This window comes from Homo sapiens, chromosome 8, assembly GCF_000001405.40.
Source record: "Homo sapiens chromosome 8, GRCh38.p14 Primary Assembly".
Taxonomy (NCBI): domain Eukaryota; kingdom Metazoa; phylum Chordata; class Mammalia; order Primates; family Hominidae; genus Homo; species Homo sapiens.
In genome coordinates this window covers 82947989-82962215 of record NC_000008.11, presented here as the reverse complement: position 1 = coordinate 82962215, position 14227 = coordinate 82947989, and the positions used below count along the sequence as shown (strand labels likewise).

Below are 14227 nucleotides of genomic sequence, written 5' to 3'. Positions count from 1 at the left end.
TCTTTGAATTAATTTAATTTCTTTTAAAACTATTTTTTTTTAGTTTTCTAGAACTAAATTGTACATTTATATAAGAATAAAATGTTTAAAGTTAGGAAATTCTAAAGCTGTGATGAAATAAGTTGTTTCTGGTAAATTGTGTTCAGCTCCTGTGGTTACAGGCAGGTATGTGTTATATATTCCTCCCTGTACAATTTCAGCAACCAAGTGGTATATTACTGTAAAAACAAGTTCCTGACCAAAGTCAAATTCACAAATAAATATTTATTAAAGAGCAGCTCACACATGATCTGTAGTGCAGGAGAAACTCCACTCTTTATTCCCAGGTTACTGACAGAAACATTACACAATAAGTTCTTATGAAAGTAGATGCAACCATGACTTTAAAACAGGAAAGGTAGACCTTCTTACTTAAGTGTCCTGGCCTCTATCTAAAATTAGAGAAGAATACATTTTGTGATTCAGAGATTTCCTCCGATGTTGAGTCACTAAGACAATGTGAATCAGCAAAGAGATCGAGCTGGGCACCATGGCTCATGCCTGTAATTCCAGCACTTTGGGAGGCCAAGGCAGGAGGATTGCTTGAGTCTGGGAGTTCAAGACCAACTTGGGTGACATAATGAAGCCCCTGTCTCTACAAAAATTTTTTTTAATTAGCTGGATGTGGTGGCATGCACCTATAGACCCAGCTACTTGGGAGGCTGAAGCAGGAGGATCTCATTAGCCTAGGAGTTCAAGGCTGCAGTGAGCTGTGATCATGCCACTGCATGCCAGCCTTGGTAACAGAGTGAGATCCTCTCTCTGGAAAAAAAAAAAAAAAGATGGAGAGGGAGTAGCTAACAGTGTAATATGAAATTCAGATGAGTGTGGAGTTCCAGAATCCAGAAGTGCTAACATAATACTTACTGTCTGTCACCAACCCTCTGCTTTATCTTGACAAAACATTAGTCAGGCATCTCTCTTTCACACAGGCCCTTGAACTTTAGCTTGCTCCTCTTGTCAGCTTATCTTGTGTGCTTGCTAATGATAGAAGACAAATTTTCTGTCGAACCAGGATTATGCTCCCTTTTGGTTACTCAACTTCTCCTTAAAAGTTTCTGCTAAGCATTGCTTATCTCTCCTTACAAAATGAACCTTTTTCTTTTTTTATTTTCACATGCTTGCAGATTTATGAGATAAGAATATTCTGCCTATTGCAATATTCTTTTTGAAGAAAGTCTCTTCTTCTCTAAGTCTGAATTTGTCTTTATTTGACAGTTGTCTTTATGTGTAATTCAATGTCACACATATATGTGCATATAAGAGATAGTAAGAAGTTGTACCAGTATGGTATGGCACTGAATAAATATGTGTATCACTCACATGCTTATCACCAGCACCAAAATGAGCTGGGCATTTTTCAAGATCAAAGATCAATCAACTACTGGCCACAACACAGTGGGTGAGTTTGTTTCTGTGTATTGATGCATTCACAGTTGCCAGCAACACTGTAAGGCCAGAGACTCTGTGCCACAGAGACTGTTGCTTGCCAGGCTTAGGCCAGCAAGCCTAAGATATTTACTGTCTGACACTTTATGAAAATATTTGCAATGCCTGTTTTAGATACTAGATACAGCCAGAAACAAGACAAAGTTTTCTAATCTCACAGAGATTATGGTCCTCTTTTGTGGCACCTATACAATTTTTATATAAAACAATTATTTTCTTGAGTGGTTCCTAAAATATGGTGTGAGTCAGGTGGGTGTAGGAAGCATGCCCATTCATCTGTGTATTCCTAAACATCAAGATGAATGCTTATTAAATACTAATCCTTTTGTTTGTCAAAGAAAGGAAAGGAAGAAGAAGGAAGAAAATAATTTTTTCAAGTATGTATTGATCAACTTAATATCCATCGTGTAATTTTCTTGGTAACTTATGTTTTTGTTGAATAAAATATGGTTTGTTATAGTTGTGAGTGCTTCTAATGTACTCACATCAACATTATAGCATGACTGTAATAATTTCTGTGTTCTGTGAATTTGACGGTAGAAACTTTTTTCTCATTATTTATATTTACCAGTTATTTCATGACTTTTTAAAAAAAGATTTTGGGACTGTATATTATTTTCCTACAGATGTGTTCAAAGGTAAATAATTCATTGCATTTTAAATTATATTTTATGACTTGTATTTGTTCATTGTGTTTAATTTTGCTTCCACTGCAATATTTTTTAGCATTTTAATACAAATTATTTGGGGACTTTACCAGAGATGAGTATCATGTAATATTAATAATGTCATTAAAAACCCAATAAATCATTAAATATAATGCCATTAGAGATGAAATAAGTAAAAATACATCTTTTTAAAAATCTTCATTATGGTGTAGAAGACGCCCATAAATTTATGGGTTTTTATGCAAAAGTTTGATGATAGTGCTCTAGGTTCAACTTCCTAATTATATTTTTTGTAATATTAATATTAAAATCAATTTACATTCCATGGGAATTTACCAACTAGTATTGGAGAGAAGAGGCCTTAAGCAGGATAGTACCTAAGGTATGTCAAACTGGGATAATAATTTGCTGAAGATAATTAATGAAAAATCGAGAGTTGAGGGTATCTCACAAATTAATGAAAAAAGTTAAACTTACTGCTGTAATTTCCAGATAGCAGACAGATTAAATATTAAAGGTATTTAAGTTACTGATTTTAGTATTTTTGAAAACATTAAATCATTCTTTAATTTTCATTAAGTTTAAATTTTTGTCGCATTATGAAATGTGAGCTCTTAAAACGCAGAAGGCAATACGACGTCAGTAACAATAACAATGACTAAAGTTCCTCTCTCATCTCTTCCTCAACACTTTCCTTTTCAGAGAAGAAAATAACTTAGAAGTGTGCATTTATTTGTGTGTGTGTGTGTGTGTATGTGTGTGTGTGTTGAAATTTATCTCTATATGTTGACAAAACAAAAAGAATTCTTACATATCCTTATTCTTTACTTGTAAACATTTAAGTGATTTTTTTTAATGGGAGATAAAAATTTTTATCTCACTTTCAAACACACATTTTTCTTCATCCATCCTCCACATAAAATTACATCTTCGGTTCTGGTTAAATTCGTATTCAGTATTTTGGTTATTATACTGATATTAAATTCCAGCAGTTCTATACTTATATTCTCCTCCTTGAATAACTTTTATTTTTACTGGAGTTAGTCTTTATATTTTCCTTTTGTTTATTTTATTTTTGTGTTATCTTTGCTAATTCATTTCCAATTCTATAAGATATTGTGATTTAATATCCTATAAGCTTTAAAGCAGAAACATAATTTTATTTCATACCCCTTTCTTAAGCCCTCTAATGTCTTGCTCTGTTTCAAATGCTTTGCTCTCTAGAACTTGCTGTCCTGCTGTTCAAGAACAGCAGGACAGTATTTGTCAGTATTCTATATTTGTCAGTATTCTAGGGATTTGTCAGTATTCTAGGGATTTTTCTGTGTGTGTGATCTCCCTTCTTCTCTTTCTCTCCTTGTTTAGTTACACATATTTGGAAGAACACATTATTTCAGAATTTTGTGAAGCTGTACGGATGGTAAGTGTGACATTATACATGACAACATTTATTATATTATCACATTTGATTGATAATGTGGCCAGCAATATAAGTCATATTTGAAAAAAAGCATTTCTACTCAGAATGATAAAAACAATTCATCTTTGTATTAGTGAGGATTCTCCAAAGAAACAATCAAATAGAATGTGTGTGTGTGTGTGTGTGTGTGTGTGTGTGTGTGTGTGTGTCTGCGTCTGTGTGTCTGGTATTGACTCATGAGATATTGGCTTATATGAAGGATTCGTTCATGAGGTTATGGAAAACGAGAAGTTCCACAATCTGCCATCTTCAAACTGGAGAACCAGGAAAGCCACTGGTGTAGTTAGAAGGCCTGGGAAGCTGGAAAGCTAATAACATAGATTCTGTTCTGACTCTGAATGCCTGAGAACCAGGAGCACGGAACGTGCGAGATCAGCGAATACAATCTTCCTCCACCTTTCTGTTGTATTCACACCCTGAACTGATTGGATGAGACCTACCCACATTCGGGAGAGCAATTCTCTTTACTCTGTCTAGTAATTCAAATGATAATCTCTTCCAGAAACATCCTCATAGACACATGCAGAAATCATATTTAACCAGATATCTAGGCATAGCATGATCCAGTTAAGTAACAAATGAAGCTACTATCACAATTGTCTTCCAGATCCCAGTGACTCTATTTGTTTTTTGTTGAGAACTCTATTTGATTTTTCAGTTCTTGTAATAGGACTTGTTTTGTTTCTGTGAGCTGTTAGAGTCTTATTATCTGAAACATTTAAAAATCAGATAATTATGTGCTTTGGCATTAGGTTTTTAAAATTTGTTGTGCAAAGTAATTAGATTGTATTTTCAATTTGGAGATTCATAAATATTAGATCTAGAAAACATTTCTGTTACTTTCTTGATCATTTTTTTCATTCTTTCTGGAATGGCTGTAAGTCAGATTTTGCATTTCCTAAATTGTTTTCCTAGTTTTTATAGCCTTCTCTTTTTAAATTTTACTTTTTTAACTTTTATTTTAGATTCAAGGGTACAAGTGCAGGTTTGTTATAGAGGTAAATTGCATGTCACGGGGCTTTGGTGTACCCAGTAGGTTACAGACATTATGCTTATGACACAGGTAGTAAGCATAGTATCTGATAGGTGGTTTTTGATCTTTACTCTCCTCCCAGCCTACACCCTGAATTAAACCTCAGTGTCTTTTGTTCCCTTCTTTGTGTCCATGTGTACTCAATGTTTATCTCCCACTTATAAGTGAGAACATGCAGTATTTGGTCTTCTTTTCCTGCATTAATTCGCTTCAGATAATGGCCTACAGCTCTATGTTGGTGCAAAGGACATAATCTCATCTTTTTTTTTTTTTTGTATGGCTGCATAGTATTACATGGTGTATGTGTACCAGATTTTCTTTCTCCAGTCCACCAGTGATGGGCTCCTAAGTTGATTCCATGTCTTTGCTATTGTGAATAGTACTGCAATGAACATATGAAGGCATGTATCTTTTTGGTAAAATGTTTTATTTCCATTGAGTATATGCCCAGTAATGGGATTGCTGGGTCAAATGGTAGTTCTGTTTTAAGTTCCTTGAGAAATCTCCAGCCTGTTTTCCACAGAGACTGAACTGTTTTACACGCCCACCAACAGTGTATGAGCATTCAGTTTTCTCCATAGACTCATCACCATATTACTTTTTGACTTCTTAGTAATAGCCACTCTGACTGGTGTGAGATGGTATCACATTGTAGTTTTGATTTTTATTTCTCTAATAATTAGTGATGTTAAGCATTTTTCATTAAGCTTGCTGGGCATGTTTATGTCTTCTTTTGAGAAGTGTCTGTTTATGTCTTTGCTCACTTTTTAATGAGATCATTTGCTTTTTCAGGTAAATTTATTTATGTTCCTTATAGATTCTGGATATTAGACCTTTGTTGGATACATAGTTGCAAATATATTCTCCCATTTGGTAGGTTATCTGTTTACTGTGTTGATAGTTTCTTTTACTGTGCAGAAGCTTTTTAGTTTAATTAGGCCCTATTTGTCAATTTTTGTTTTTGTTGCAATTGCTTTTTGTGTTTTCTTCATGAAATCTTTGCCAGGGCCTGTGTCCAGAATGGTATTTCCTAAGCTATTGATAGGGAGAGGAAGCAGAGAAATTCTAGGCAGAAAAGGGCAGATCCCTAACAAAACCCCACCCTCAAGCCTGAAACTGCAGCCCAAAGTGAGAACTTACATCCTTGTTTCTCCACTTGAATGTTGCCTTTTCCAAAACCACCCAAAAACTTGCTAACTCTTTACCTCTACCCATCTTGATTTTGTTTCAGAAACATCGGTGGCACAATTATGCTTGGGGGAATATAAAATCTTTTTTTAGATGTAACAAAAATGCATAAAACCTTAAGTTTTTCCAAGAAGATTAATTACCATCCTAACATCATTAGTCTCCCTGCTATATTGCCAGTAAAGACCTTAACTTCTTGAATAATGCATTGCTAAACAGATTTTATAGAAATACCATTTAAACAGTGAAACAAAGTTTGGTCAGCAAAATATTTTGCTAGAGAAAGCTGTATAGGAAAATGGAGTATTTCTTTTTATAGATGGAAGAGAGTTGTTTCTGTGCAGTGACATGCTAGATTCACATGACAGACAGCTTCTCATTTTATTTCAAAGCTAACCTGGTTAATTAATAGATTCTGCTAAGTGTGGTCTCCGTTGTATGCAGTGACAGAGAAAAGCAAAACAGCAAAAATAGGAAGAGTCAGCATTAGATGATGTACGCAAAGGTGGTGGGGCATTTTTGGTAGAGTATATTCTAAATCTCTGGGAATTCCATGCCAATTTGACTATTTTAACAAAATAAGCTAGGAAACAATTTACTCCCTAAACGCTTACTTTCCAAGCTTATTTTATTTGGATTCTATCATCATAAATAAGTTTAGCTGGTTTGGAAAAAGTACCACAATTCTCTTATCATGTTGTGTTAATTATCTGGTTGTATGGCTTCTCTAAATAAGGTTCATTGTCAAACACCATTATTTCAGAGCTGCTTTTATCTATATGACAACGGTTGTGCATGTGCATAATTTGAATAGAACTAAAATACCGAGCCACATCCAATTGATCATGATATATGCATAAGAGCATGCCATGTAGCATGGCCTTAAAATACTTTTTTTTTTTTTTTTTTTTCTGAAAACCCTGTTGAAAATTAGAGTCACCTACTCGTTGCATCTTACTCAATTTGACTATGGAGCATGTAGGTAACCCACAATATACAGGGGCTTTTTGTATAGTCTGTAATAAATTAATTAAAAATTCTTTAGTACTTAATGGTTAGCATAGAGAAAATTTGTCACTTTTTTCACTAGTTCAGGTATTAAGCACACACATGTATTGACCATGTGCTTAATTCTGTGTTTTCTCTCTGCTAGTAACATATGCTCACTGATTTGCTTTTTTGGCTATGAAAATTGCCTACATAATATTCTAGAGCAGTTCTTATATGTGTTCTATCTATTAAATGTTCAATTTATCAACAAACTGATTAAATACAAAGCTTAGCATTTGGATTATCTCTGCTTATTAAATGTACTAGATTTGATTAATTAAACACTGGGTCAGAGAGATTTACAAGTGCTCAATTTATTTGTTTTTTCTAAATAAAGGACAAATACATCAAATCGATTAATGCAGATATTCCTGTTTTCCTTACAATAACTAATAAATAGCTTAGTTACAATCAAGTAAAGAAATGAAAATATTTTTGATAGTTTCACCTTCATAGTGGTATAAAATCACGTTTTATCATTCACCTCAGAGATATATATCATTTGCAGAATATTTGAATATAGAAATAATGAAACTGTTTTTTTCTCATTCTTCCTTTATTCTCAACTACACTCCATCAATAAAGAAGACTCCAACTTACTTTAGATTCATTAATATTTGAATTATCATTAACAAAGTATTAGTGTCGGCTACAACAATATATTTCCTAAGGTTTATCTGTTTGGGGACAACTGATAAATATTTGTCATCTGATGGTAATAGAAGGTTGTTAACAGACATGATTAAATGAGAGGTGAAAAGCAGTTATTAAAGTGCTTATAGTACAATAATACTATTTTTATAAGAAATGTACACAGCTGAAACTTTTATTCCCCTACAGAACATGTGCCTTCATACTGTTTCATCATTAGAAATATTTGTACATTCTAAGCTCATCGAAAAGAGAAGTAGATTCAGTACAAACTTATTATGTGTCAAGTATACTTTCAACCCTGGTAGGATGGATAATATTTCTAGGACACATCCCTTGATATTATTAACCTTATAAGACTATTGAATAGGGGTGAATATATTCTTCTAATGTTTTACAATATGGCATCAAATATCTGCTCCTCAAGAAAGCATTCCTCTTATTTGACATTTATTCTCCTTAGAGACTAAATTGTCTTTGATATAAATTTTGCCACATTTTATTATAATGGTCTAAGTCCTTCATTTGAAATGCTCTATATTCTCTTCACACTTTGTGCCAGTTATCAATTTATTGCCTCTCAGCTACAAATTTACTCTTTACTACCTGTTCTGCAATAATGGACCACTGCCATATGTACACACAATAAATCTTCCATCTAGCCTTCCTGAAAGGGCTGTGGCCATTTACAAGAGTGACTACATAGGGGAAAATAAAATGAGCAGAACTTTTGGAGATTACGAGGCCCTGACTTTGAATGAACACTAATTTGTGGGGACCAAAAATTGCACTGTGGTCCACCAGAGAGGGAACATAAAGTGCTCTGGTGATAGATGGAGACTGAGGTCAAACTCACAGTGGGCCCAGTGGGTCCAGAGGTCTATCCTGTGTTTTTCACTCCAGTACCTGAATCTGTAATTGGGATAGGCATGTTTAGTCACTGGAAAAATCCCCACAGTGGCTTCATGACTTGCTGGATAAAAGGGCATTGGCATAGCTAAAAGTGATTTATTTTTAAAAAACTGACAAGACTCTATCAGCTTAAAAAGTGTTACCAACTGATGTTCACTGCATTAGGGATACAAGAGATGAGAAAAAAAATATTACTAGGATTTGTTGTATGTACACCAATGATGGTAACTCTATTAATGATAGTCCCATTAAATACTGTGTCTCTGACTAAATATATGAAAAAAATAATCGTAGATGTAGGTATGTGGTCTTCTCTTTCAGCAATCCCAAAGTTATCTGAATGTTGTGGCTGCATTTCGAATTGGATTAAAGAGCCCCACCACTAATGTCCATTTGACAATATGACAAGAGACCAAAGCAGTAAATAGTGAGCTGAAACCCAAGCTGGAGAACAGATATAGCCCATTGTCTAAGATTATTAGAACACTGAAGGAGTATTATGATTTTTCTGAGAGTGGGGGCAGAGAGAGTACAAATTATGCCGGCAAAACTACATTGGTGAATGGTTGTATTAGTGTGTTTTCACAGTGCTATAAAGAACTTCCTGAGACTGGGTAATTTATGAAGAAAAAGTTTTAATTGACTGACAGTTCCACATGGCTGGGGAGGCCTCAGGAAACTTACAATCATGGTGGAAGGTAAAGGGGAGGCAAGGACCTTCTTCATAAGGCGACAAGAGAGGGAGAGTGAGGAGGGAACTGCCAAACACTTTTAAACCACCGGATCTTGTGAGAACTATCTCACCATCATAAGAACAGCATGGGGGAATCCACCCCCCATGATACAGTCACCTCCCACCAGGTCCCTCCCTTGATGTGTGGGGATTACAATTCGAGATGAGATATGAGTGGGGACATAGAGCCAAACAATATTAATAGTAAACAATAAATGTTTGAACAGGTATGTTGTGTGTGTGTGTATATGTATATATATACACATGCACATATATATAAGCACATGAAACAATGAAAGAAGAAATACATAATTTATAAAGTGACCATGAGTGCTAGCAATGTGGAAAGATTTGCAATTTCCAATATGGAGTTTATTGTAAATGTCTTTGAGCTGGTGACATTGGGGAACAAATAAATTAGAGAGGAACTTATTTAAGTAACAGTTTTTTTGTTTGGACTTTTACTTTGTAAAGAGGGAAATAATACTATTGGAGCAAAGCCAACTTAGGTATGGGGAGAAAGTCAGCACAATATTGATTCCTTCCCAAGGATAAACATTTTGAGGCAAACGACAGTTTTCCTTTTAAACATCTTAGGTGGTAGTTTCCAAGCCTCACAAGTGCAGGTTCCAATTTACTTTTTTCCATGAAAGAGTGTTCAATTTAGGAAATTGTCCTAAAAAAGAGTTAAACGAAAAGCAATTTGACAAATGCATACAAACAAATCCTGAGATTATTTTGTTTTATGAGTTTCACATAAGCAGCAAAAGAAAATGTGGCAGAAATCACAACATAGCAGGCTATAGAAATCACCATAAATTGTTAAAATCTAAATACTTTATATCTTATTGAAGAATATCAAATTTCAATGACAACTCTCATAAATTAGATATTAGGTGATACAATAAATATATTAAAACATACAGTTGAACTTTTTTTTTTGTGGAGCATAGATTTAAAATGTTAAAGACATTGTTTTACTAAAGAAAATTCAAGAACACAGAATTCTCCCTAGCTAGTAGTCTGATTCATCTGATTAATTATCTAAAATTTTAAGGAAAGTGTTTTTTCTATCACAGTATTTAAACCTCGCAATAAATAGTGAGCCTCAATTACTGCTAACCTATTGATTCTGAAGAATCCTGTGGTGATTAAAATGCATTAAATAATCTTTAATGCATATAAGGAGCTTTTGAATTTCTAATGTAAATTTGAATTGAAAAAACTTAAACTTTGATGTGGTAGAAATGAACTCATTTTAGAAATTCTAAAATAGGTTTTAATATTTACTGCTTTTACTTTCTTGGTGAAGTTCAATGCACAGGCTATAGTATTAAGTTTTAAAAAACTATTGTAAGGAAAATAGATATATACCCACAAATTCTATAATAAATCGAAGGATTTATGTAACATAAATTAAAATATCATTGTTTTAGAATACCTATTATGGTGTTGTTTTATTTTGTATACATAAAAAGGCATTTTAAATATAGCTGATAGTTTATATTTATTAAGATATAAGACTTAACTATATGCTTTTCTCATTATAACATGTCATTGTCCATGAAATTGTTTAAATATTATTACAATATAATAACGGTTTGTCCTTGTTTACTAGATTACCAAATATATTCATCAGTGTTAATATTTAGCAGATAGCATGTATTTTAAATACAACTGTAGAAAGTGAATTTAAACCCTACAATCTGAAAAATAATGGTGCAAATACATATAATTCTTACAAGATGCAATGAGCATACATTTTTAATTGAGACAGAAAAGCTGATTTAAATGGTCATAATTAAATGGTGATAATTTAAACTTTTTAACTGAGTATTTTCATTGACATCTTCTGCAAAATTAGTTCATGTGTAGTTCTCAGATTTCCACAGCTCCCAGTCAAAACTAATTAAACTTAGGTTAGAAAGCCACAATTGAAATTGTTAGCTTAATTGGTTATTTAATAATTAAATATTTTACAAAAATGTGTTCTGAAGTTTTCCTTTCACCTAGTTTGAATATATCACTGATGTTTTATTAGTTTATTATATTAAAGAAGTGACATTTTAATGTATAATTTTGATATGTATAAACCTAAAATAGATTATTTTATAAATGAAATAATTATTCTATGCAGAAAAGAGGTGTTGAAAGTAATGAATTGTCATGAATAAATCACTAGAGTTAGATCTATAATCAACATTAAATATAGAAACAAATGTGGGGAAAGAATAAAATCATGTGGATCCCTGATATAACACCCTAATTTAGTAATGTTAATGTGCAGATGGAAACAATAAGCTCATTTTCTGAAACATTTAATTTTGAACTAATTTTAGGCTTGCAGAAAAGTTGCATAAATGTTACATGGAGTATTCATATATTCCTCACCAGCTTCACCTAATGTTAGCAACTTATATGATTATATGTAATTATCAGGAAGAAGAAATTAATATTGGTACAATATTAGTAACTAAAATGGAAACCTCATTTAAATTTCATCATTTTTTTCTACTAATGTTATTTTTTTTTTCAAGAATCCTACTGAGGATTTTACATTGCATTTCATTATGATTTCTCCTTAATCTCTTTCAGACCTTCAGTCTTTTCAGTATTTCCTTGTCTTTTATGATCTGACGCTTTGGAAGAGTACTAATTAGTTATTTTTAGAATGACCTTCAACTTTGATTTGTCTGATATATTTCCATGATTGAAATGAGGTTATCATTTTCAGAAAGAACACCAGAGAATTGATATGGTGCCCTTACTAGTATATCATAGCATGGGGCTCATCATGCCAATGTTTTAGTACTGGGGATATTTTCTTGATCATTCTGTTAACTTGGTAACTGCTGGATTTATCAAGTGTAAGGTTATTAATTTGACCCTTGTGTTTAATAAATATTTTGGGAAATATATTTGAGAATATGGACACGTTTCTCTTATAACCCTTGTACACTGATTTTAACATTCACTGGCAAATCTTGTCTTCAATAATTATTAGGGGGATTTGCATAACGGTGATTCTTTATTTCCCTCTTTCCTTTTACACATATAAAAACCTCTTGTTAGAAAAAACTGTTCATTTGCCTTCATTTATAAATTTATATCAGCATGGTCTCATTCACGTTGATTTTATACATGAGGTTATAACTTAATGTTATCCTTAATGTTGTTGCTCAAATTAATACAGCTTTGACTACTAGGGGCTCCTCCAAGTTGACCACTTTGGTTCTTTTTTAAAGCCCTCATTTTATTTATTCATTTTTTGAACAGTTTATTACTTTCTGATGCCAAAAGATATTCCAGGTTAACTTGTACTTTCCCTGGAATCACCTAATTCTCCAAGGATCCCATGTTCCTTTTATTGAAGATTAGTTTTTAGAAACTAAAAGTGATTGCCAGGTATGCTCACTTTTATGGTTTAATTTTGTTTGTTAATTTTGGGGGTATATTAAGAGTAAATAAAATAGTACTACGGTTCTAAGGGTCATATTGTTACTGCAAGGAGGACCTTGAGTGTGAGTTTTCCAGATCCTTGGCATTTTGAACAAAGAATTGGACAAAATGCACAAAGTAACAATGTAACAAAACAGGGATGAAGCAGTGAAAGCAGAAATTTATCAAAGCAAGAAAGGACTCCATAGGGTGGAAGTGGGTGCAAGTAAGCAATTCAACTGCCAGGTTACATGTTACAAAGTTTTCTGGGTTTTAGGAACTTCTTCTTGAGGTCCCTATTGGTTACCACTTACCCGGATGAAGGATTTGGTCTGTGGCTAATTAAAGGCTGAAGTGGATGAATTGGCATTCTATGCAGATGAACGGATGGTCCGTGCTTGGCCCCCAGGCCAATCCAGGGCACTTTCCCCTTCCATCTGGTGGAAGGAGGAGATTGTAGGGAGAGTAGCCTTTGATCTTTTGTTACTCAGCATGGGGCATGGGGTTTTTCCCTTTGGGTTTAGCTTTAGGAAGTTTGTGTTAATTAGCCTTATGTTTCCTGCCCACAGACCTTGGTGGTTTCTCTTTAAGGAAGTCAGCACAAATTGGCCTTAGATTCCCTGGCCCCAGACCTTAGTGATTTTCCTTGACTCAGCATAAATTGGTCATAATTTTCCTGCCTCTAGACTCTATTCTCCTGTCTTACTATGTATAAAATATATATACTGAGAGATCCTCAGACCTTTTACTATCCCTGACACACTGACCTTCCATTCCATTCTTCTTTCCACTTCTTTCCCACCCACTCCTTGTAGGTAAGTAATCTCATGAGGTTCTTGCTTATCTTTCCTTTCAGTTCTGATGGGGTCAGTTTTGCTTTTCTTAGGAAACTTCCCATTTTACTGAGGTTTTCAAATTCATTTAATAGAGATCTACAAAGTCTTCTCTTATGATTTACTAACCATTTCTTCTGTTTCAATGATTATTCCTTTGTCATTTCTTATTTTGTATCACCATGTTTCCTCCCCTTTTCTTATGATTAACTTATCTTACAGCTTTATGTATTTTAACTTTCTTAAATACCATGATTTTGATTTATTCATTAGATCGATTACTTGTCTCTGTAATTGTTTTTATCAAAAATGTCAAAAAAACTTTTCTTTGATATACTTTTATTTCCTTTATTATACTTTTTGTTTATTATTTACTTTCTAGTTTACTTTATTAACTAGAAATTTAACTGATATATTTTTTCTTTTCTCTTTATTGATAAAACTATTTAATGCTATATAATTAATCATCCTCTGAGAACTGTTTTAATTGAATTTCATTGATTCTGATATACAAAGCTTCTGTCATTATTTCTTTTCTTTTCTTTTTTTTTTTTTGAGATGGGGTCTTGCTCTGTTGTCCAGGCTGGAGTGCAATGGCATGATCTCGGCTCACTGCAAGCTCTGCCTCCAGGGTTCATGCCATTCTCCTGCCTCAGCCTCCTGAGTAGCTTGGACTACAGGTGCCCACCACCACTCCCTGCTATTTTTGTTTTTTTGTATTTTTTTAGTAAAGACAGCGTTTCACCATGTTAG

General features: G+C 33.4%; 1 long non-coding RNA gene across 1 annotated transcript in view; it reads right to left on the bottom strand.

Annotated features, from left to right (window-relative positions):
- Positions 1 to 291: 291 nt before the first annotated feature.
- The window catches only part of LOC101927141 (uncharacterized), a 49821-nt gene continuing 35885 nt past the window's right edge, over positions 292 to 14227 (bottom strand). The window contains exons 3-4 of the long non-coding RNA NR_134295.1: positions 907 to 1020; positions 292 to 431 (exon numbers count right to left, since the gene is read on the bottom strand). This is a non-coding gene — a long non-coding RNA (uncharacterized LOC101927141). The remainder of the gene's footprint in view (positions 432 to 906; positions 1021 to 14227) is intronic.